Below are 21,415 nucleotides of genomic sequence, written 5' to 3' on the forward strand. Positions count from 1 at the left end.
GGCTCACGCCTATAATCCCAGCACTCTGTGAGGCCAAGGTGGGCGGATCACCTGAGGTCAGGAGTTTGAGACCAGCCTGGCCAACATGGTGAAACCCCGTCTCTACTAAAAATACAAAAATTAGCCGGGCGTGGTGGTGCACGCCTGTAGTCCCAGCTACTCGGGAGGCTGAGGCAGGAGAATCACTTGAACGTGGGAGGCAGAGGTTGCAGTGAGCTGAGATCCGCCAAGGCACTCCAGCCTGGGTGACAGAGCAAGACTGCATCTCAATAAATAAATAAACAAATAAATAAATAAAGGCCGAGCACGGTGGCTCATGCCTGTAATCCCTGCACTTTGGTAGGCCGAGGCAGATGGAACACTTGAGGTCAGGAGTTCGATACCAGCCTGGCCAGCATAGTGAAAACCCGTCTCTACTAAAAATACAAAAATTAGGGCCAGGCGCGGTGGCTCATGCCTGTAATCTCAGCACTTTGGGAGGCTGAGGCGGGCGGATCACGAGGTCAAGAGTTTGAGACCAACCTGGCCAACATGGTGAAACCCCGTCTCTCCTAAAAATACAAAAAGTAGCCGGGTGTGGTGGTGGGCACCTGTAATCCCAGCTGCTCGGGAGGCTGGGGCAGGAGATTCGCTTGAACCCGGGAGGCGGAGGTTGCAGTGAGCCGAGATCGCACCACTGCACTCCACCCTGGGCGACCTGGCAAGGCTCCGTCTCAAAAAAAAAAAAAAAAAAAGAAAAAGAAAATACCGGGCGTGGTGGCAGACGCCTGTAGTCCCAGCTACGCGGGAAGCTGAGTCACGAGAATCGCTTGAACCCGGATGGCGGAGTTTGCAATGAACCGACATCGTGCAACTGCGCTCCGGCCTGGGCGCCAAAGCGATACTCGGTCTCAAAAAGAAAAAAAAGAAAACAGGAGAATAATGAAATTTTACTTATTTATTTTATTTATTTTTTATTTTTTTGAGACCGAGTCTCGCTCTGTCACCCAGGCTGGAGTGCCCTGGCGCAATCTCGGCTCACTGCAACCTCTGCCTCCCGGGTTCAAGCGATTCTCCTGCCTCAGCCTCCCGAGTAGCTGGGACTACAGGCGCCTGCAACCACGCCCGGCTCATTTTTGTATGTTTAGTAGAGACGGGGTTTCACTATGTTGCCCGGGCTGGTCTCGAATTCCTGAGCTCAAGTGATCCTCCCGCCGCTGCTTTCCAGCGTGCTGGGATTACAGGCGTGAGCCACCGCGCTCGGCCAAAAGTTTTAAATTTCAGTAAGTTCCAATTTATCAACTTTTTCCCTGTATAGATTGGTCTTTTGGTGTCGTCTAAAAACTATTTGCCTGGCCCTAGGTCCTGAGGATTTTTTTTAACTTTTTTTTTCCCCATAAGTGATTTATTGTTTTACATTTAAATCTATGATTCATTTTGAGTAAATTTTGTATAAGGTGAGAGGTTTAGGTTGAGGTTCTTTGGGTCTATATTCGTCCAATTGCTCCAGCATCATTTGTTGAAACGGCTCCTGATTCCATTTTTGTACCTTTCCCCCGTTCATTTCCCCTTAGAGCAGTGGGAATGTTTTTTTGTTAGTGATGATGTCATGCCTTGTGCAAAATCTGTATTAGCATCTCACAACATAAGATTTGGCTCTATTCTAACGGCATTTTCCACCACTCGATGTCCACCGTAATACTTGGCTCTCGAAGAATCACTGGGCTGGCTCCCTCACTTCATGCAGGTCTATTCTATTATCACTTACTCAGAGATTTCTCTGGCCTTTTCTTCACAGCACTTACAAAATGCGATCTATTACATATTAATTTGCTTATTTGCTTCTTGTTTTCCTATACTCCCATCCCTCCCAGAAGCTCCAAGAGAGCATACTGTTTTATCCCTAGGGCCTAGAATAATGCGTCCACGTAGTAGGTACTCAAAATTTTTTGCTTGACAGGCTAGAAAAGGTGAATAAACACAAAGCGGGAGCGAAAAGTCTACTTCTAGGTCAGGCACTCTTTGGACTTCACGCAACGTGTGAGCGCCACCTCTCGGGAAGCCAATTTGCTCGCGAACGAAGGAAGTGAGTCAGAGAACCCGGGGGTGGAGAGAAGAAAGCAAGCAGCTAACCGGAAAGGTCTGAAAAAGCTAGCGCCGGAAGTTAAACTGCAGAAAGTTGTTCCCTAGAATGACTGCCTACTCCCAAGAGGAAGCGTGGGCGAGCGGTGTTCTGCAAAATGGGCTCTCCGGCAGCGGATCTGCGCAGAAGCGTTCCGTGCGTGCAAGTGCTGCGAACCACGTGGGTCCCGGGCGCGTTTCGGGTGCTGGCGGCTGCAGCCGGAGTTCAAACCTAAGCAGCTGGAAGGGTAAGAGGTGTTCGGGATCCTGAGAGGAAAAAGAAAGGAGTGTAGTCGCGGGAGTGGGTTAGGTGAGGAGTTAGTGAAGAGATGAGTTCAGCTCTAAGAGGCGGCGAGGAGGATCGGATGGGAGGAGGGGCAGGGAGCGCCTGTGGACAAGTGCAGACCGGTCGGCGCACGTCCCACGCCACGTGGACTCGCCTTTGTCGGTGGCCGCCTTTCTCGTCAGGCCGCGACGACAGGGCTGTGCCTTATTTGTGTCTGTCGAGAGCAGTGCCGGGCACGGAGTTGGCGCTCTGTAAGTGCTTGCTGAATAAATGACGGGTGTGTGTGTCATTCATTCAGCAAGCACTGAGTGCTTACTGTTGTGTCACCGGGACCGATGTGGAGGGACATTTTTAGGGTGTATTTCTGGCGCTTTAGTCCTGTTTTCTCCTGGACAATTTATGCTTGCCCCGCACCCCATCGTGCGATTCTCCGCAGTCTTTGGGCTTTGTCTCTCTCTCTTTTTTTTTTTTTGGAAGTTGCAGAATGGTGATAAATGATTTTCTTTGCTCCTATTGACTGCTAGGCCCTGTGGCTAGGTACCATAGAGTCTCTACACAGGACTAAGTCAGCCTGGTGTGCAGGGGAGGCAGACACACAAACAGAAAATTGGACTACAGTGCTAAGATGCTGTAAGAAGAGGTTAACTAAAGGACAGGAAGATGGGGCCAAGAGATGGTGCTACTGTCTACTTTAGGGATCGTCTTTCAAGGCGAGGGGCCTCCTATCTCAAGCTGTGATACAGGGTAGGTCATGAGCGCAGTCTTCTGTAAAATGAGGGATCTGGACGGAATAGTTACTCTCTAGGCTTCCTTTCAGTATGATGTCCCGTATCAGATATTCCTAATGTCTGTAGTTCTCCCACACCCCACCGTTTATTGGCTAGTCAAAATATTCTTTGCATTGTAAAGTGTAGCATAACATTACAAGAATGGATTAATGGGTTGGGAATGCTGGGTTTTGGCCTTCATTCTGGTGCTGTGGTCCTGTTTCCTCATTTGTAAAATGAAGGGGGTTGTAAAGATATATTCTCTAAAACCCCTAATGCTATGGCTGTGGCATTAAGTCAAACTATTATTTCTTACTGCTTTGTACCGGACATCACTTTCACATTAGTAAAACTTTTCATCAGTGTAGTTTCTCCCAAGCTTGATTATTGAGAAAGATAGTGCCTTGTTTTTAACATCCTGTATCCTAGTTCCACCGCAGTGTTTGGTACACAGTAGATGTTTAAAAGAAGCTTATTAAATCAAATGGTGGCCAGGCTCATGGGGCTCACGCCTTTAATCCCAGCACTTTGGGAGGCTGAGGTGGGCAGATTACTTGAGGTCAGGAGTTGGAGACCAGCCTGGCCAACATGGTGAAACCCCATCTCTAGTAAAAAAAAATACAGAAATTAGCTGGGTGTGGTGGCACGCACCTGTAGTCCCAGCTATTTAGGAGGTTGAGGTAGGAGAATTGCTTGCCTGGGAAGTGGAGGTTGCAGTGAGCCAAGGTCGCACCACTGCACTCCATCCTGGGCGAAAGAGCAAGACTCCATACCAAAAAAAAAAAAAAAAATCAAATGGGGCTGGGTGTGGTGGCTCATGGCCATAATCCCAGCACTTTGGTAGGCTGAGGTGGGCAGATCACTTGAGGACAAGAGTTCGAGACCAGCGTGGGCAACATAGCGAAACCCCATCTCTAAAAAAACCCCACAAAAACCAAAACAAATGAAAATAAAATAAATCAAATGGGATAGAAATTATAGTCCTTGCTTTTGGATCCTTTCCCACATTGACATATTAGTTCATAGATCAGGGGACTGGGGAGGAATTGGGTTTTTACCAGAGGGAGACCTGGAGCTGACCTGACAGATTTAAACCAGCTTTATGGGATAATCCGCTTGAGACGGATGACGCTGTAGGCAAGTGATTCACTGCTGTTTCATTCCTCTACCTGCCTATCCCCAGAACCATGGCCAACTGTGAGCGTACCTTCATTGCGATCAAACCAGATGGGGTCCAGCGGGGTCTTGTGGGAGAGATTATCAAGCGTTTTGAGCAGAAAGGATTCCGCCTTGTTGGTCTGAAATTCATGCAAGTAAGTGGACTTCATTGTTCCCATTTTGATTCCTTCATAGTATAGGAGAACACTGTGATTAACCTGTTTCTCCCCGTCTTTCTTATTTAAAGTTCTCCACGGTAGAGTGAACACAAGTGTCTTGAGACCTGGAAACTCCTCAGTGCCCTAGCGTTTGGCTACATCTTGGAACAAACCAAGTTATTTAGGATTTTCCAAAATAGTCTCTGTAATAGGAGGTGCATTGCTACGGGAAAAGCAGTGCAGAGTTCCACATATGACTGCATCTCTGTAATTTCTGACTGAGAGCTGAGCATGTTTGAGTTCTTGGTCTTGAGCTTCCTGAGCAGATAATTTTAGAGAGATTTTTTTCCCCCTTTGAGACAGGTTGTTTTTTAGCAAGAAAGTCTTTCCATCATCAATTACTAGACACTAATAAATGCTTATTGTTTAGCATATATTAGGTATCATAGGAGCTGGTGGAGGAAAACTATGGTTTTGGTTTTGGGGAGGTTCTTCAGAAACAGCAGAGAGCAGATGTACCTGCAAGCTACTTACAAAGCAATCTTTTGATAAATGCAAAGGATTGATTGACCAATAACCCTTCTTCAAACAAATTCTAGAGATAATCCAAATTCTCGGCTGGGTGAGGCATAGTGGCTCATACCTGTAATCCCAGCACTTTGGGAAGCCAAGGCAGGCTGGTCACTTGAGGTCAGGAGTTCAAGACCAGCCTGGCCAACATTGTGAAACCCCGTCTCTACTAAAAATACAAAAATTAGCTGGGCATCAGGGTGGGTGCCTGTAATCCCAGCTATTCGGCAGGCTGAGACATAAGAATTGCTTGAACCAGCCAGGTGCGGTGGCTCATACCTGTAATCCTAGCATTTTGGGAGGCTGAGGCGGGCGGATCACCTGAGGTCAGGAGTTCGAGACAGCCTGACCAATATGATGAAACCCCGTCTCTACTAAAAATACAAAAATTAGCCAGGCGTGGTGGCATGCGCCTGTAATCCCAGCTACTCGGGAGGCTGAGACAGGAGAATCGCTTGAACTGGGGAGGTGGAGGTTGCAGTGACCGAGATCGCATCATTGCACTCCAGCCTGTGCAACAAGAGCAAAACTCCATCTCCAAAAAAAAAAAAAAAAAAGAATTGCTTTTGAACCCAGGAGGCGGAGGTTTCAGTGAGCCGATATTGCACCACACTGCAGCCTGGGCAACAGAGGGAGGGAGACTCTGTCTCAAAAAAAAAAAAAGAATTCCAATTCTCAAATCAAATAGGGGATAGTATGTTTTCTAAAAGGGAATCAATTTTGGACCCTTCTAGTGCATTTTAAAATTTAGTTTGACTTGCAATTTACTTCCTATGTGATATTTTAGAAAAACTGCTTTAGGGCTGGCACAGTGACTCGCCTGTCATCCCAGCACTTTGGGAGGCTCCGTCTCCAAAAAAAAAGAAAAAAAAGAAAAGAAAAACTGCTTTAATGTAAAAGAGGGTAGACTGATGTTCATGCTGAGAGGAGAATATGGTGTCCAAGGTCAAGGAGCTGGCATCTAATGAAGGTTTTCTTGCTGTATCATCCCATGACAGAATGGAATAGCAAGAGAGTGCAAGAGTGAGAGAGAGCAAGAGGGGGCTGATGTTGATTTTATAACAAACCCACTCCTGAGATAAGACATTAATCTGTTCATGAGGGTGAAGCCCTCATGACCTAAACACCTCCCATTAGGCCTCACCTCCCAACATTGTTGCATCGAGGATTAAATTTCCAACATACGAACTTTGGGGGACACATTCAGATCACAGCAGAAGGTAACATGAGATGGATGTGTTGTTGATCAGGCATTTACCATATGCTGGGCACATATGTTTTCTGATTTAGTCTTCATGCCAGCCTTGAGAAGTACTTACTCCTGTTCTCGTGGTTGTTAGTGATGAGCAACCTAAGGCTTGGAGAGGTTCAGTGATGTGCCTGATAGCATACAGTGATGCCACTGGAATTTTAACTTGAGTCTCTCTGACCCCTGAGTGCAGATACTTTCTCCTTTACATTGAATTTCCTATTAAGGATATATGGGTTTGGTGAAGAATGGACGGAAGGATAGCTGCCATGACTCTAAAGGGGCATTTAAATCTGGTGTGGAGGCAGGAAGCAAGGGAGAACTTGAGGTTCCCAACCCCCAAGCCCTTAAAAAAAGCCCGTGATCTGTTTTGCAGACTAAAGATAATCAGTTAGGGCCTGGCGTGGTGGCTCACACCTGTAATCCCAGCATTTTGGGAGGTCAAGGTGGGTGGATCATCTGAGGTCAGGAGATGGAGACCAGCCTGGCCAACGTGGTGAAACCCCGTCTCTACTAAAAATACAAAATTTAGCTGGGTGTGATGGCGCATGCCTGTAGTCCCAGCTACCAGGGAGGCTGAGGCGAGAGGATGGCTTGAACTCGGGAGGTGGAGGTTGCAGTGAGCGGAGATCGAGCCACTGCACTCCAGCCTGGGTAACAGAGCAAGACCCTGTCTCAAAAAAAGATAATTAGCCGGGTGTAGTGGTGCACACCTGTAGTCCTAGCTACTGAGAATCTGAGGCAAGAGGATTGCTTGAGCCTGGGAGTTTGAGGCCGCAGTGAGCTATGATCATGCCATTGCACTCCAGCCTGGGTGACAGAAAGACCCTGTCTCAAAACAAACAACAAAACCAACAAAAAGATAATTGGAACCAATTAATAGAATTAAAAAAGTATTCTGATAAGGGAAGGTCACCTCAGGGTCTGTTAGACTTCCACAACAAAAGTCTTCCATTTGGATAGGAAAGGACAGGGCGAGGGTTGGATCCCTACCACGGAGTGATTATATGGCCATGTAATTTTACTTTGGCAAGTGATGATAACTGGTGGCTGAATGATGGGGCTTCTGGGCAGCCAGTCTCCACATCTGTGTGTGTCTCTGATGTGTGTGATATGCGTCATACAGTGCAGTACCACAGAGCTGGAAAAACCATGGGACCCTGTTAGATTTTAACAAGCGTATATGCAGTACAAGAGAGAACACAGCCAAACTGAGTTGAAACTGCTAAGCAGATGGTTTGTTCTCTAGCTAACTTGATTCGTTCCCACATATTAGCCTTGCAGTATGAGAGGTTCTAATTCATTTTTCAGCAAAATTATTTATTACTAGATGTCATGCACTTTTGGGTGATTTGCAGATACCTTTGGTAATCACATGGTCATCACTGCTGGGCTTTTATCCTCTGAATAAACGTGAAGCATCCCTGGGTAATGGCCTGGTTTAGTTTGCTGCTCATTAAATGCCAAGACTTGCTTCCTGGTGTCCTTCTAACATTTTATTTGGGGTTTGCTCTGGGAATGGAAATTTATTGTATTGTTGATTTTCCTGTCTAAAATGAGATAGTTGAGGGCCAGGCATGGTGGGTCACGCCTGTAAGCCCAGCACTTTGGGAGGCGGAGGCTGGAGGATCACTTGAGTCCAGGAGTTTGAGACCAGCCTGGGCAACATAGTGAGACCCTATCTCTACAAATAATTTTTTAAAATTAGCCAGGTATGGCTGGGCGCGGTGGCTTACGCCCGTAGTCCCGGCCCTTTGGGAGGCCAAGGCAGGCAGATCACCTGCGGTCACCTGAGACCAGCCTGGCCAACATGGCGAAACCCTGTTTCTACTAAAAATACAAAAATTGGCCAGGCATGATGGCCGCCACCTGTAATCCCAGCTACTTGGGAGGCTGAGGCAGGAGAATCACTTGAACCCAGGAGGTGGAGGTTGCAGTAAGTCAGGATCACGCCACTGCACTCCAGCCTGGGTGACAGAGGGAGACTCTGTCTCAAAATAAATAAATAAATAAATAAAATTAGCCAAGTCTGGTAGTGTGTGTCTACAGTCCTACCTACTCGGGAGTCTGAGGCAGGAGGATCACTTGAGCCCAGGAGTTTGATTTTTTTTTAAATGAGATAGCTGGATTTAATTTTAATGTTCTGTGGTTTTATTATCAGTCAGTGCCAATAGGGAGACAACTGATATAAAATTGGAGAAGTACATTTAGTCCTGTCACTGCTCCCTTCCAGTGTGGAGAATGAATTGGGTTATAACAGAATCAGTGAGCCCAACCGCTCATGTTTTACATAGCAGGGTGGATGAGGGGAAATTAAATGGATTATATGTCCTTAGATGGTTTGGGGGTTATTCTCATTCTCTGTCCTGTTGAATAGGCTTCCGAAGATCTTCTCAAGGAACACTACGTTGACCTGAAGGACCGTCCATTCTTTGCCGGCCTGGTGAAATACATGCACTCAGGGCCGGTAGTTGCCATGGTGAGTGTGCCTGTGTGGGATACTCCAAGTATGCATTGCTTGTCATCTGTGCTAGGCTCTCTTCTAGACACTGGGGATACAGCCATGAATGAGACCAAATAGATACCTGTTTTCATATACCAGCTAATGGTTAGTGATAGGCTTCAGAAATGAAATATGCCCAGAAATGAATAGGAGTAGCAAATGATCACTTTAGATTGGGTGATCAAAGAACGCAATTTTTAAGCTGTGATCTGAATGACAAGAAGCAGCGATCTGAATGACAAGAAGCAGCCAGCCATGTACAGAATCACAGTGAAAAACATTTCCAGCCAAGCAAACAGCATGTGCAAAGGTCCCAGGGTGGGAATGAGCTTGGCTTTTTGAAGTACGGGAGGAGAGTTGAAATGCCCGAAGCCTGATGGGTGGGAGGGAAGTTGGGAGGTGAAGAGTTCAGAGGCATGGGCAGGGGCCTTCTCTCTTAGGGGTGTGTTGACCATATACTTCCTGAGTGCTGGGAAGCTATGGGACACTTCACACTTGGCATTTCTTTTTTTTTTTTTTTTTGAGACGGAGTCTTGCTCTGTTGCCCAGGCTGGAGTGCAGTGGTGCCATCTCGTCTCACCGCAAGCTCCACCTCCCGGGTTCACGCCATTCTCCTGCCTTAGCCTCCTGAGTAGCTGGGACTACAGGCGCCCGCCACCACGCCCAGCTAATCTTTTCGTATTTTTAGTAGAGACAGGGTTTCACCATGTTAGCCAGGATGGTCTCGATCTCCTGACCTCGTGATCCACTCCCCTCAGCCTCCCAAAGGGCTGGGATTACAGGCGTGAGCCACTGCGCCCTGCCCACACTTGGCATTTTAAGGAGGCTGCTCTGGTTGCTGTATGGAGAATACATTGTAGAAAGGCAAGCATGAGGGCAGGGAGATCAGGATCCTCAGTGCTGGAATAAGTGGATATACTCTATAAACATTTGTTCAGTGAATGAATATAATCTTAAGGGGCCTTTTTATTTTTCCTTTTTTGAATTAATAGTTGCCAGATTTTCTGCTGTGATTGGTTTTCTTCTTTGACCATATCTTCTTCTGTCCTTGGAGGTCTGGGAGGGGCTGAATGTGGTGAAGACGGGCCGAGTCATGCTCGGGGAGACCAACCCTGCAGACTCCAAGCCTGGGACCATCCGTGGAGACTTCTGCATACAAGTTGGCAGGTGAGATTTTGGTATTTTTCCCCCTTTTCCAAAATCTGATTTAGTTGCCACAAGGATTTGGGTTTCCGAGGCTGGAGGTAGACATGATACCATATGCAGGTTGATTTTATCGGAGTTTATTGTTTTCCTCCCTCTTAAGTTGGCGTTTGGCTTTGGTTGTTAACATCACTTAGTCGTACCTCTGTTACACGAAGTGTAGAACCTGGTACAACACACTTTGCTGGCCAGTCTTTCCTGAAGGCTCTCACTGTTTGCACCAGCGTGGCCGGGAGGGCTGGATGTGGGGAGGGCATTTTTCAGCCTTAAGTGAATGGCCATTGTAGGCTTTTTCTTTTAACATGGTCTAATGTCCATGGAGCTTCAGCTTTTATGCTGCTGTGGCTGTAGATTTCTGGCAATGGGCGCATTTTAATCCTTCTGGTCTTGGTCATGTGACTATCTCTTTCTCCACCCAGGAACATTATACATGGCAGTGATTCTGTGGAGAGTGCAGAGAAGGAGATCGGCTTGTGGTTTCACCCTGAGGAACTGGTAGATTACACGAGCTGTGCTCAGAACTGGATCTATGAATGACAGGAGGGCAGACCACATTGCTTTTCACATCCATTTCCCCTCCTTCCCATGGGCAGAGGACCAGGCTGTAGGAAATCTAGTTATTTACAGGAACTTCATCATAATTTGGAGGGAAGCTCTTGGAGCTGTGAGTTCTCCCTGTACAGTGTTACCATCCCCGACCATCTGATTAAAATGCTTCCTCCCAGCATAGGATTCATTGAGTTGGTTACTTCATATTGTTGCATTGCTTTTTTTTCCTTCTTTTCATGTACACTGAATAACCTGACCTAATAGAGAGTGTAAATACTATAAAAATGATTTATTTTGAGGTCTCACATACACACAGGCATTCTTTGCCTGCCCTTCTTAACCCCCGCATCCCTTCCACTCTTGGCACTGAGCTATTCAACAGGCATCTATGGAGCATGTGCTACGTGGCCAAGACTGGACTAGGTGCAGAGGATTCATCAGAAATGAAAGAAAACATGAGGGCTGGGTGTGCTGGCTTGTGCTTGTGATACCAGCTACTTGGGAGGCTGAGATGGGAGACCAGCCTGGGTAACATAGCAAGACCCTGTCTCACTAAAAAAAAAAAAAGAAAAATTAGGCTGGGTACGATGGCTCATGCCTTTAATCCCAGCTATTCAGGAGGCTGAGGAGGAGAATCGCTAGAGGCCAGAAGTTCAAGTCCAGGGTGGGCAACATAGCAAGACGCTGTCTTTACAAAAAAAAAAAAAAAAAATTAGCTCTGGTGCTGTGCACCTCTAGTCCTAGCTATTGGGAAGGCATAGGCAGGAGGATTGTGCCCAGGAGTCCAAGGCTGCAGTGAACCATGATCATGCTACTGTCCTTCAGCCTGGGTGACAGAGTGAGACATCTCTTAAATAAAAACATATCCATCCTGTTCTTGAGAAGCTCTTGGGGATTCAGTGAATGGGGGAGTGTGGGAAGTTGTAATTCCTCCAAAAATCAGAAAAGCTAGGTAGATAGTAAGCCTGAGTCCCTGGGATGGCCTCAAATGAAGCAGGAGGTCTTGTAAGTAGCTTTGATTTGTTAGGTATTGATTTGGTTGCTTTAATGGAGACAAGATAGAAATGTACTTCTCTTTCATTTGAAAGTTCAAGTGTGGTCAGTTGCAGTGGCTCATGCCTATAATCCCAGCACTTTGGGAGGCCAAGGCAAGAGGATTGCTTGAGCCCAGGAGTTTGAGACCAGCCTGGGGAACAGAGTGAGACCTCATCTCTGCCAAACATTAAAAATTAGTCGGGTGTGGTGGCACATTCCTGTAGTCCTAGCTACTCAGGAGGCTGAGGTAGGAGGATTGCTTGAGCCCCGGAGGTTGGAGCAGTGAGCTGTGATCCCGCCTCTGCACTTCAGCCCGGGTGACAGAGTGAGACCTGTCTTCAAAAAAGAAAAAGCCCTAGCTGCTCAGTAGGGGTGGTGATAGTGGTAAGGCTCTGATCTTTAAGGTGGTCTACACACACCTGGTTCCTTCTAATCAGTCCTACTTGGATTACCACCCCATGTCCCTTCCTGCAAGTTGGGAAGGAAAGTGGAAGAAGTAACCCTTTTAAAGACACAACTCTGAATTACAACCTTCACTTCCTCTCACATCCCACTGGCTAGAACTTAGTCATATGGCTGCATCTAGCTGAAAGAGAAATTAGAATTTTTTTTTTTGCTTTTGAGATAGGGTCTTGCTCTGTCGCCTAGGATGGAGTGCAGTGGTGTGATGACAGCAGCTCACTGCAGCCTCGACCTCTCTGGGCCCAAGTGATCTCCTATCTTAGCCTCCTGAGTAACTGGGGCTACAGGCACGTGCCACCACGCCCAACTAATTTTTGTATTTTCTGTAGAGATGGGGTTTCATCATGTTTCCCAGGCTGGTCTCCAACTGCTGGGCTCAAGCGATCTGCCTGCCTGGGCCTCCCAAAGTGCTGAGATTATAGGCGTGAGCCACTGCGCCCACCCTGAGGGTTTTTCTTTTTTCTTTTTCCTTTTTTTTTTGAGACAAAGTCTCGCTCTTGTCGCCCAGGCTGGAGTATAATGGTGCGATCTCGGCTAACTGCAACCTCCGCCTCCCGGGTTCAAGCGATTCTCCTGTCTCAGCCTCCTGAGTAGCTGGGATTACAGGTGTGTGCCACCACTCCCGGCTATTTTTTGTATTTTTAGTAGAGACAGGTTTTCACCATGTTGGCCAGGCTGGTCTCGAACTTCTCACCTCAGATGATCCACCTGCCTCAGGCTCCCAAAGTGCTGGGATTACAGGTGTGAGCCACTGCGACTGGCCACCTGAGGGTTTTTCTTATCTTTCCTTTTCATCTGGCTTCGGTAGAGGCAATAGAGGGGAAGAGACTTCTCAGGATGGGGGAGAAGAGGGTAGTTGGGGTGGGCTGCCTTTACAGACAGATGATGGCGAGATGAATTTTTTTTTTTAATTTAGTTTTTTTTTTTTTTTTTTTTTTTGAGACAGAGTCTTGCTCTGTCACCCAGGCGGGAATGCAGTGGTGCAATCTCGGCTCACTGCAAGCTCTGCCTCCCGGGTTCACGCCATTCTCCTGCCTCAGCCTCCTGAGTAGCTGGGACTACAGGTGCCCGCCACCATGCCCAGCTAATTTTTTTGTATTTTTAGTAGACATTGGGTTTCACTGTGTTAGCCAGGATGGTCTCGATCTCCTGACCTCGTGATCTGCCTGCCTTGGCCTCCCAAAGTGCTGGGATTACAGGTGTGAGCCACCGCACCTGGCCCCCTTTTTTTTTTTTTTTAATTTTTGAGATGGAATCTCAATCTGTTGCCCAGGCTGGAGTGCAGTGGCACGATCTCAGCTCACTGCAACCTCTGCTTCCGGGGTTCAAGCGATTCTCCTGCCTCAGCCTCCTGAGTAGCTGGGATTACAGGCATGCGCCACTACGCCCGGCTAATTTTTGTATTTTTCTTGGGGACGGGGTTTCACCACGTTGGTCAGGCTTGTCTCGAACTCCTGACCTCGTGATCCACCCGCCTCGGCCTCTCAAAGTGCTGGGATTACAGGCGTGAGCTACCGCATCCAGCCTGAATTTCTATTAATACTTTTACACAAAGCGTGGCCTGTTTGTTTTGGGGCGTGAGATGAGCATACCAGGACTTGGGGGAATGAACATGTGTGTAGTGAAGCTGGAGGGTTACAGCCTCCCCAGTTAAGGACAGTCTTCCCAGGAAGGAAAGAAGAGGTGAAAGCAGAGGGGTGGTCCTGACTGTACCCTGAGTAGCCATCAGTGACCTGACCAAGGGGAGCAGATAGCTCTCCCCTGGACAGAGAAAAGTCCGTGCAATTTCGAGACCTGTTTTCACAGTTGACATTTGGTAATCCAAATGAGAGTGTGTTTCAGATCGAAGCCAAAAAATAACAGTGCCCCCAGATGAGGGCACATGACAGTCATTGTCAATGTGTGGTGGGCTAATGCTCTGTAACTAGAAGTTTGGAAAGCCGATAAGGTATAACAGAGGCCAGATTGTCATCCATCTGGCCAGTGACAGGTGATCAGCGCAGTGCTAGGGGCACTCGGGTGATGGCATGATTGCTGTGGTCAGCTCAGAGTCCTGAGGGGAAGCAAGCGGGCTCTCACCATCTCAGGGCAGTACCACTGCTGTGCGGCTGTCAGTCAGTGCTGCAGGCGCCGAGAGGAGGGGCTTGTGACCGCCCCAGGGAAGCTGGGCATCACCAAAGGGAGCTTGTTTGCCAGGGACACTGCAAGTAGGAAGTGTCTACAGGTCGATGACAGGCCTAATCTCTATGACAGGGTCTAGACTTTCCTCAGGGTCCAGGGGCGCACCTCAGGGTGAACTGGAAAACTCGACCGCACTTTAGTGCCAGGTGGGCAGGGATCCCCATGTCAGGGTGGGAGTGGGGCGGCTGATTGGGGCTGGAAATGTAGGTGGGGAGGCGGCAGCCAGGGAGCAGGGCATCCTGCGAGAAGAGCATCCCGCTAAGGAGTCTGAACGCCATCCTGTAGGCGGGGGAGTCATCAAGGCAGGGCAGAGGCAGGACCAGATGGCCGTTTGAGGTGCTGAGCAAAGCTCCCGGTTTGCGCGGAGAGGTGAGATCGAGGCCCCTTGGGAGGCCGAGGCTTAACCAGGGCTCAAGCAGAGGGGAGGGAAGGCTGGATTTCAGAGGTAGGGAGGATAAGGACCGTGGGTGCACGACGGGGAGGGAGAGCCAAGTCAAGGTTAATGCCGGTGCTCGGGCGGATGGTGAAAGCAGCAGATGGCCTTGACCGGGGTAGAGAACTCGAGCACAGGAGCAGGTTCTGTGTGTGTGTGTGTGTGTGTGTGTGTGTAGGAGCTTTTGGGGTCACGGGAAGTACTGAGAGGTGAGGAGTGGGATTTGGGACGTGCGTAGTTGAACTCATAGGACGTCCAGGTGGAGAAGGAATCACTTCCTGTCTCTGGATCCGTCTCGATCTCTGCCTGGCGAGGGCGCGCCCCGGCTGGGCGTGGACACTGTTCTCCGGCCGCGTCGGGCCGGGCGGGTGGGGCGTTCCTGCGGGTTGGGCGGCTGGGCCCTCCGGGGTGTGGCCACCCCGCGCTCCGCCCTGCGCCCCTCCTCCGCCGCCGGCTCCCGGGTGTGGTGGTCGCACCAGCTCTCTGCTCTCCCAGCGCAGCGCCGCCGCCCGGCCCCTCCAGCTTCCCGGTAAGGCGGTGGGGGCGCATCCCCTGGCGACTCCTCCCGTTCCCTCTTCCGCTTGCGCTGCCGCAGGTGGGCCCGGTCTGTGGGCGCCCCCCGATTTCCCGCAGGTCCCGCGCGGCGTCGGAGCGGGAGATTCCCTTGCAGCTTGCGCCCCGCGGGCCTTCGGGCTCCGCAGAGGGACGCCGGCCCTGCGCGGGGCGGAAGCGGCCGGGAAGCCACGTGTCCCCGCGGCCGCGCGTGGTGGGGGAGGAGGGACCGGCGGCGCCCACGTGGCCTCCGCGGGCCCCGCCAGAGCCTGCGCCCGGGCCCTGACCGCACCTCTCGCCCCGCAGGACCATGGCCAACCTGGAGCGCACCTTCATCGCCATCAAGCCGGACGGCGTGCAGCGCGGCCTGGTGGGCGAGATCATCAAGCGCTTCGAGCAGAAGGGATTCCGCCTCGTGGCCATGAAGTTCCTCCGGGTAACTCGCCCCCGTCTCCCCTTCCCCGCTGCAGCCGGCTCGCGGGTGTTTTTCCCTCCCGGCGGCGGTTTGTCCGCGTCTGCTTTCCGAGTTCATTTCGCTGCCGCGAAATCCCTTTGCCCTCTGCCCCCGCCCACGGCGGCTTGGGCCCGCCGACCCTTTCCCGGGGTGGTGGGGACAGACGCCCTTGGGAAGGTGAAGCGCTGGTAGCGTGACTCGCCCTCCGGGTTTGGGTTCCTTCCCGCGGGCCGCTACCTGCCCACCCGCCGCAGGGGGGCAGCAGGGAGCGGAAAAACCCCGGGCCCCAGACCCCCTGCGCCTGCCCACTCGGGTCCACCTAGGCACAGAATGGAGGCTTGGAATCTCCTTTGCTTTAGTCTGAAACTCCGAGTTCCAGTGCGGTGCTCCTCCTTTAGCATAGGGTAGTGAGTGTATTTTCCACATTAAATTTGGGGCACAGATCTGAATCCCTACACTTACGGGTAAGAATCTAAGTACTGAAATTCAACCAGGCTCATCGGTGAAGAGAATGTTCTCAGTTATTATCTGAAATATTTAAAAGGGCATTGTGAGTAGCCCAGGGGAGTTTAACATGACCTCTGCCAGGCAGATGACCTGACATATGTACTTCAGTTGCAGCCAAAATTTAATTCCCTAAATCTAGATCCTCAAACCACCTACTTTTTAGGCTTACAAAACCCCTAATGTCATTGACGGTATGAGGGTGTCTTTACGATTAGAACAGTCTTGGCCAGGCGCGGGGCTCACGCCTATAATCCCAGCAATTTGGGAGGCCGAGGTGGGTGGAGCCCAGGAGTTGGAGATCAGCCTGAGCCACATAGCAAGCCCCTGTCTCTACAAATAAATAAATAAATAAATAAAAATTAATTGGGCATGGTTGAGTGCATCTGTAGTTCCAGCTACTTGGGAGGCTGAGGTAGGAAAATCACTTGAGCCCTGGAAGTTGAGGCTGCAGTGAGCCATCATTGTGCCACTGCATTCCAGCCTGGGTGATGATAGTGAGACCCTGTCTCCTAAAACAAACCAAAACAACACACCAAAAAAAGAACAGTCTTTCTGTTAAAATGGCATTAGTTTCATGGTTTGGATGGGATTTAAAAAATATTTATGTGTGTGTATATGTGTGTATATATATATATATTTCCACACACCACTTAGGAACGTGGGCTAGAATATAAAACCGGACTTGCTAATGGGAGGTTCAGAGGATGGGTTGGAGTCTTTCCAGCTTAGCTCCTAACTGGTGCCTCCTCTCCAATGCCAGGCCTCTGAAGAACACCTGAAGCAGCACTACATTGACCTGAAAGACCGACCATTCTTCCCTGGGCTGGTGAAGTACATGAACTCAGGGCCGGTTGTGGCCATGGTGAGTGCTCGTGGGGAATGAGAGAAAATGAGGAAAAAGTGCTCAGTGTTCTTTGTTAGACATCTCCCTCAGCTAATCTAAATTTTATTTTATGAATGGAACCTGCTGAAGTTACTTAACTGAGCAACTAGGAGCTTGGGAGGAGAAAGCAAATCAGACCTTAGAAATGGGAAGGATGTTAGCTGGGTGTGGTGGTGCACGGCTGTAATCTCAGCTACTTGGGAGGCTGAGGTAGGAGAATTGCTTGAACCTGGGAGGCGGAGGTTGCAGTGAGCCGAGATCGTGCCACTGCACTCCAGCCTGGGCAACAGAGCGAGACTCTGTCTCGACAAAGAAAAAAGATATGGGAAGGACTTTTTCAGGTACATGTCTCTATGGTTAAATAGAATCTCACTGCCTGCAAGAGTGGTAAATTTTCGGGCCAGGCTTGGTGGCTCATGCCTGTAATCCCAGCGCTTTGGAAGGCTGAGGCGGGTGGATCACCTGAGGCCAGGAGTTAATCCCAGTTACTCAGGGGGCTGAAGCACGAGAATCGCTTGAACTTGGGAGGCGGAGGTTGCAGTGAGCCGAGATCATGCCACTGCACTCCAGCCTGGGCGACAGCAAGACTCCATCTCAAAAAAAAATAATACTCAATTTCTTCTGTTTGACAAGTGTTTTAGACCTTAATGTTTCCTAGATTAAAAAACTTTATCCTATTTTCTCATGAAAAATTCAAAGGTAAGGATGTAAGAAGTTCTCAATCCTATACTAGAAGCAGTTTCTTCTGGATGGTGCTAATGTCCATTTGGGAGTGGAGAGAATATGAGGAGAGAGTGGCTGGGCGAGGTGGCTCACACCTGTAATCCCAGCACTTTGGGAGGCCGAGGTGGGTGCATTACAAGGTCAGGAGTTCAAGACCAGCCTGGCCAACATGGTGAAACCCCATCTCTACTAAAAAAATACAAAAATTAGCTGGGCATGGTGGCGTGTGCCTGTAATCCCAGCTACTCGGGACGCTGAGGTGGGAGAATTGCTTGAAACTGGGAGGAGGAGGAGGTTGCAGTGAGCTGAGCCACTGCACTCCAGCCTGGGCAACAGAACAAGACTCTGTCTCAAAAAAAAAAAAAAAAAAAATTGGAGAGAGTAAAATAGGGAGGCAGTGAAATTGTTGAGAAAGTAGATCTATTTCCTGTTCACCTTTTTCTTCCTTCTGCTGTTCCCTGGAATCCTTACCCTAGCATGTTAGTCTTTCTTTTCCCTCTTCTAGCAGTCTTCTGGGATGCCCTTCCCACTGATCCTATTCCAGACTGGCCACTTTCTCCTTTCTTCACCAGTTCTTCTGTGTTGATGGCTGCATAAGGATTCTGCAACATTGTTTATCTCTGTCTCAGCTAAACTGGGAAGTCCCCAAGTTGGACAGACTTTTCTTTGAATCCTAGCAATACGTTTGGAATGCAGTTTTTATATAGGCCCCTACTCTCTGCTGGGGTTAGCTGATAATCATGTCACTGATCGGTCTCATTGATGTGTCGTGTCAGGTAGGAGTAAATGTTAGACCCTACCTGTCCTGAGTGGCAGGTCTGATTATAAATCCATTTTCACACTTTCGAGGTCTGGGAGGGGCTGAACGTGGTGAAGACAGGCCGAGTGATGCTTGGGGAGACCAATCCAGCAGATTCAAAGCCAGGCACCATTCGTGGGGACTTCTGCATTCAGGTTGGCAGGTAAGTCCGGGGACAGGAGGGTGGATGACTTTTATGCAACACCATTTAAAGCAGACGTCATGGCGTATCCTACTTTCAGAAGAATCTGTGCCCTTTTTTTTTTTTTTTTTTCTTGAGACGGAGTCTCCTTCTGCCTAGCTGGAGTGCAGTGGTGCCATCTCTGCTCACTGTAACCTTCACCTCCCGGGTTCAAGCGATCCTCCTGCCGCAGCCTCCCAAATAGCTGGGATTACAGGTGCACACTGCCACGCCCGGCTAATTTTTGTATTTTTAGTAGAGATGGTTTCACCACGTTGGCCAGGCTAGTTTCAAACTCCTGACCTCAGGTGATCCGCCTGCCTCGGCCCCCCAAGGTGCTGGGATTACAGACATGAGCCACCGCACTTGGCCTGAACTTTTAGTTGGTGATTATCATTGTATAAAAACTTTCAGGCTGGGTATATCATTGTATAAAAGCTTTCAGGCCAGGGGTTTACGCCTGTAATCCCAGCACTTTGGGAGGCCGAGATGGGTGGATCACCTGAAGTCAGGAGTTTGAGACCAGCCTGGAGCCTGGCCAACATGAACCCCGTCTCTACTAAAAGTAAAAAATTAGGGCATGGTGGTGCATGCCTGTAATCCTAGCTACTCAGGAGGCTGAGACAGAAGAATCGCTTGAACCTGGGAGGTGGAGGCTGCATTGAGCTAAGATCACGCCACTGCACTCCAGCCTGGGCAACAAGAACAAAACTCCGTCTCAAAAAAAAAAAAAAAAAAGCTTTCACACATAGCTTCTTCCCTAGGTTACTTAATTTTAAGCAAGACAACAAGGGAGCCATAAGTGGTAATTCCTGTGTAGTACAGCAAAAAATGCTAGGTGTGGAGAAGGGAAGCATTCTAGCCACATCCATGAGTACTTTGTCCATGGGTGTGTCACTTAACCTTTTGATTCCCTCACCTGTACACAGTCTGTTCAAAACCTTTACAAAGTTGTGAGGTTGAAGTGGGATAAAGGGATTTTTATTAATAAGCAGTGTTATGTCATGGTTGGGCTTTGCAAATCAGTGTTATAAGAAAATGCAGCAGAGCTGGCCTATGATAATGAACACATCATATCTAGTTGGGATGTTGATCTGCAGTGGGTTTGAGTATCACTGTATTTTCCAAAATTTGCGGAGGAGTGTTTTATGTCTTCGGCAATCTTGGGGTACAAGCACTCTTTTGATGGGGAGGCCAGACTTGGAAGCATAATACAGTTGAAACAAGGAATGTTTTAAATCAAGCACTTTTACAGTTGTATAGCTGCTTTTAAAAGGAAATGCTTTGGGGGTATAAATTGGTCTGTTGCTTCAAGTGGCAATTTGGCTGAAAGAGTCTGGAGTGCTGTCCATTGCGGTACCCATTAAACAGACTTTTGCACTTTAAAACATGGCAACTTGTAATTGTTTTCTTTCTTAGGAACATCATTCATGGCAGTGATTCAGTAAAAAGTGCTGAAAAAGAAATCAGCCTATGGTTTAAGCCTGAAGAACTGGTTGACTACAAGTCTTGTGCTCATGACTGGGTCTATGAATAAGAGGTGGACACAACAGCAGTCTCCTTCAGCACGGCGTGGTGTGTCCCTGGACACAGCTCTTCATTCCATTGACTTAGAGGCAACAGGATTGATCATTCTTTTATAGAGCATATTTGCCAATAAAGCTTTTGGAAGCCGGACACTGTCTCCTTGTGCTTATTTGATACTGAGCTGAAAGAAGTGACTTGGTTCTCTGGCTATAGTAGCATTATGTACATCTCAATCCTGCTTGTCAAAGAATGATCTGATCCTGACGGAGTTTCGCTCTTGTTGCCCAGGCTGGAGTGCAATGGCGCGATCTCAGCTCACCACAACCTCTGCCTCCCGGGTTCAAGCGATTCTCCTGTCTCAGCCTCCTGAGTAGCTGGGATTACAGGCATGTGCCACCACGCCCTGCTAATTTTGTATTTTTAATAGAGACGGGGTTTCTCCATGTTGGTCAGGCTGGTCTTGTACTCCCAATCTCAGGTGATCTGCCCGTCTTGGCCTCCCAAAGTGCTGGGATTACAGGTGTGAACCACCGCGCCCGGCCTATTTATTTATTTATTTGAGACAGAGTCTCGCTTTGTCGCCCAGGCTGGAGTGCAGTGGCGTGATCTCAGCTCACTGAAACCTCCACCTTCTGGGCTCAAGCCTAGTTGGTCAAGTGGTTCTTGTGCCTCAGCCTCCCGAGTAGTTGGGATTACAGGTGTTTGAGCCGCTGCACCTGGCCACTTGTAAGAAAGATTTGTTGAAACTTGGAGTGAAACATACAGACTAGGGAAATACTCTAGATTTATGTATCTGCTGATTACAAATTGGGCAAGTTACTTATTAGGAAATGGAAGCCTAAAGACATCTGTGAAATGGACATATCTACCACTGTAATTCAAGGTTAATGAAATTATGTATATGCAGCTAACCTAGTGCTTGGCCTATAGTTGGTACATATTTCTGCAACCCTACCCCTTAATTTTTTTCCCTGGGGTGAGATACTTATTCATGCTGGTTTCCTGGGCTAGATGCAGTGAGTGGTTGCTAGAGGCATATTTCCTGCTTTTGAGGTTAATTTTGCTGGATTGGAACAGTTGTAAAATGTTAATAGCACCTGTCAATACAAATCATTTGTAGCACTATCACCTGCAA

At 48.7% G+C, this 21,415-nt stretch overlaps 3 protein-coding genes across 9 annotated transcripts, besides 9 other annotated features; all 3 read left to right on the forward strand.

Annotated features, from left to right (window-relative positions):
* Positions 1,558-2,757: an enhancer, noted in NCBI's record as "CDK7 strongly-dependent group 2 enhancer chr17:49230233-49231432 (GRCh37/hg19 assembly coordinates)". NCBI's record gives its function as "activates an origin of replication core promoter dependent on BRD2, BRD4, P300/CBP, MED14 and CDK7 cofactors, with strong dependence on CDK7, by STARR-seq in HCT116 cells {active_cell/tissue: HCT116}" and the evidence as "EXISTENCE:reporter gene assay evidence [ECO:0000049][PMID:35650434]".
* Positions 1,781-2,312: an enhancer, noted in NCBI's record as "NANOG-H3K27ac-H3K4me1 hESC enhancer chr17:49230456-49230987 (GRCh37/hg19 assembly coordinates)". NCBI's record gives its function as "activates a minimal SCP1, AML or CMV promoter by ChIP-STARR-seq in naive and primed H9 embryonic stem cells {active_cell/tissue: H9 hESC(naive and primed)}" and the evidence as "EXISTENCE:reporter gene assay evidence [ECO:0000049][PMID:30033119]".
* Positions 2,096-2,515: an enhancer, noted in NCBI's record as "active region_12401". NCBI's record gives its function as "activates an Ori minimal core promoter by ATAC-STARR-seq in GM12878 lymphoblastoid cells {active_cell/tissue: GM12878}" and the evidence as "EXISTENCE:reporter gene assay evidence [ECO:0000049][PMID:35858748]".
* Positions 2,245-10,854, forward strand: NME1 (NME/NM23 nucleoside diphosphate kinase 1). Of its 2 annotated transcripts, NM_198175.1 has the most exons (6): positions 2,245-2,348; positions 2,911-3,130; positions 4,337-4,466; positions 8,666-8,767; positions 9,846-9,958; positions 10,414-10,775. In NM_198175.1, the coding sequence occupies exons 2-6, from the start codon at positions 3,060-3,062 to the stop codon at positions 10,529-10,531; spliced, it is 534 nt and encodes a 177-aa protein (NP_937818.1). In that variant the 5' UTR covers positions 2,245-2,348; positions 2,911-3,059; the 3' UTR covers positions 10,532-10,775. The 2 variants fall into 2 exon arrangements, with proteins under 2 accessions (NP_937818.1, NP_000260.1); NM_000269.3 differs by lacking the exon at positions 2,911-3,130 and having other exon boundaries at positions 10,414-10,854.
* Positions 2,245-20,430, forward strand: NME1-NME2 (NME1-NME2 readthrough). Of its 2 annotated transcripts, NR_037149.2 has the most exons (9): positions 2,245-2,348; positions 2,911-3,130; positions 4,337-4,466; positions 8,666-8,767; positions 9,846-9,958; positions 15,513-15,642; positions 16,928-17,029; positions 18,623-18,735; positions 20,173-20,430. NR_037149.2 is itself a non-coding variant. In NM_001018136.3 (8 exons), exons 2-8 carry the CDS (start codon positions 4,341-4,343, stop codon positions 20,288-20,290), a joined length of 804 nt encoding a protein of 267 aa, NP_001018146.1. In that variant the 5' UTR covers positions 2,245-2,348; positions 4,337-4,340; the 3' UTR covers positions 20,291-20,430. The 2 variants fall into 2 exon arrangements, 1 of the variants encoding a protein (NP_001018146.1); NM_001018136.3 differs by lacking the exon at positions 2,911-3,130.
* Positions 3,912-4,443: an enhancer, noted in NCBI's record as "H3K4me1 hESC enhancer chr17:49232587-49233118 (GRCh37/hg19 assembly coordinates)". NCBI's record gives its function as "activates a minimal SCP1, AML or CMV promoter by ChIP-STARR-seq in naive H9 embryonic stem cells {active_cell/tissue: H9 hESC(naive)}" and the evidence as "EXISTENCE:reporter gene assay evidence [ECO:0000049][PMID:30033119]".
* Positions 14,222-20,430, forward strand: NME2 (NME/NM23 nucleoside diphosphate kinase 2). Of its 5 annotated transcripts, none has more exons than NM_001018137.3 (5): positions 14,222-14,367; positions 15,513-15,642; positions 16,928-17,029; positions 18,623-18,735; positions 20,173-20,430. In NM_001018137.3, exons 2-5 carry the CDS (start codon positions 15,517-15,519, stop codon positions 20,288-20,290), a joined length of 459 nt encoding a protein of 152 aa, NP_001018147.1. In that variant the 5' UTR covers positions 14,222-14,367; positions 15,513-15,516; the 3' UTR covers positions 20,291-20,430. The 5 variants fall into 5 exon arrangements, with proteins under 5 accessions (NP_001018147.1, NP_002503.1, NP_001185611.1 ...); NM_002512.4 differs by lacking the exon at positions 14,222-14,367 and adding an exon at positions 15,097-15,183; NM_001018139.2 differs by lacking the exon at positions 14,222-14,367 and adding an exon at positions 15,187-15,249.
* Positions 14,938-15,567: a silencer, noted in NCBI's record as "silent region_8724". NCBI's record gives its function as "represses an Ori minimal core promoter by ATAC-STARR-seq in GM12878 lymphoblastoid cells {active_cell/tissue: GM12878}" and the evidence as "EXISTENCE:reporter gene assay evidence [ECO:0000049][PMID:35858748]".
* Positions 14,938-15,658: a biological region, named in NCBI's record as "H3K27ac hESC enhancer GRCh37_chr17:49243725-49244333".
* Positions 15,050-15,658: an enhancer, noted in NCBI's record as "H3K27ac hESC enhancer chr17:49243725-49244333 (GRCh37/hg19 assembly coordinates)". NCBI's record gives its function as "activates a minimal SCP1, AML or CMV promoter by ChIP-STARR-seq in naive H9 embryonic stem cells {active_cell/tissue: H9 hESC(naive)}" and the evidence as "EXISTENCE:reporter gene assay evidence [ECO:0000049][PMID:30033119]".
* Positions 15,828-16,027: a silencer, noted in NCBI's record as "silent region_8725". NCBI's record gives its function as "represses an Ori minimal core promoter by ATAC-STARR-seq in GM12878 lymphoblastoid cells {active_cell/tissue: GM12878}" and the evidence as "EXISTENCE:reporter gene assay evidence [ECO:0000049][PMID:35858748]".
* Positions 19,921-20,121: a silencer, noted in NCBI's record as "peak2890 fragment used in MPRA reporter construct". NCBI's record gives its function as "represses an SCP1 promoter by STARR-seq MPRAs in K562 erythroleukemia cells {active_cell/tissue: K562}" and the evidence as "EXISTENCE:reporter gene assay evidence [ECO:0000049][PMID:32103011]".
* Positions 20,431-21,415: the final 985 nt, after the last annotated feature.

This window comes from Homo sapiens, chromosome 17, assembly GCF_000001405.40.
Source record: "Homo sapiens chromosome 17, GRCh38.p14 Primary Assembly".
Classification (NCBI taxonomy): Eukaryota; Metazoa; Chordata; class Mammalia; order Primates; family Hominidae; genus Homo; species Homo sapiens.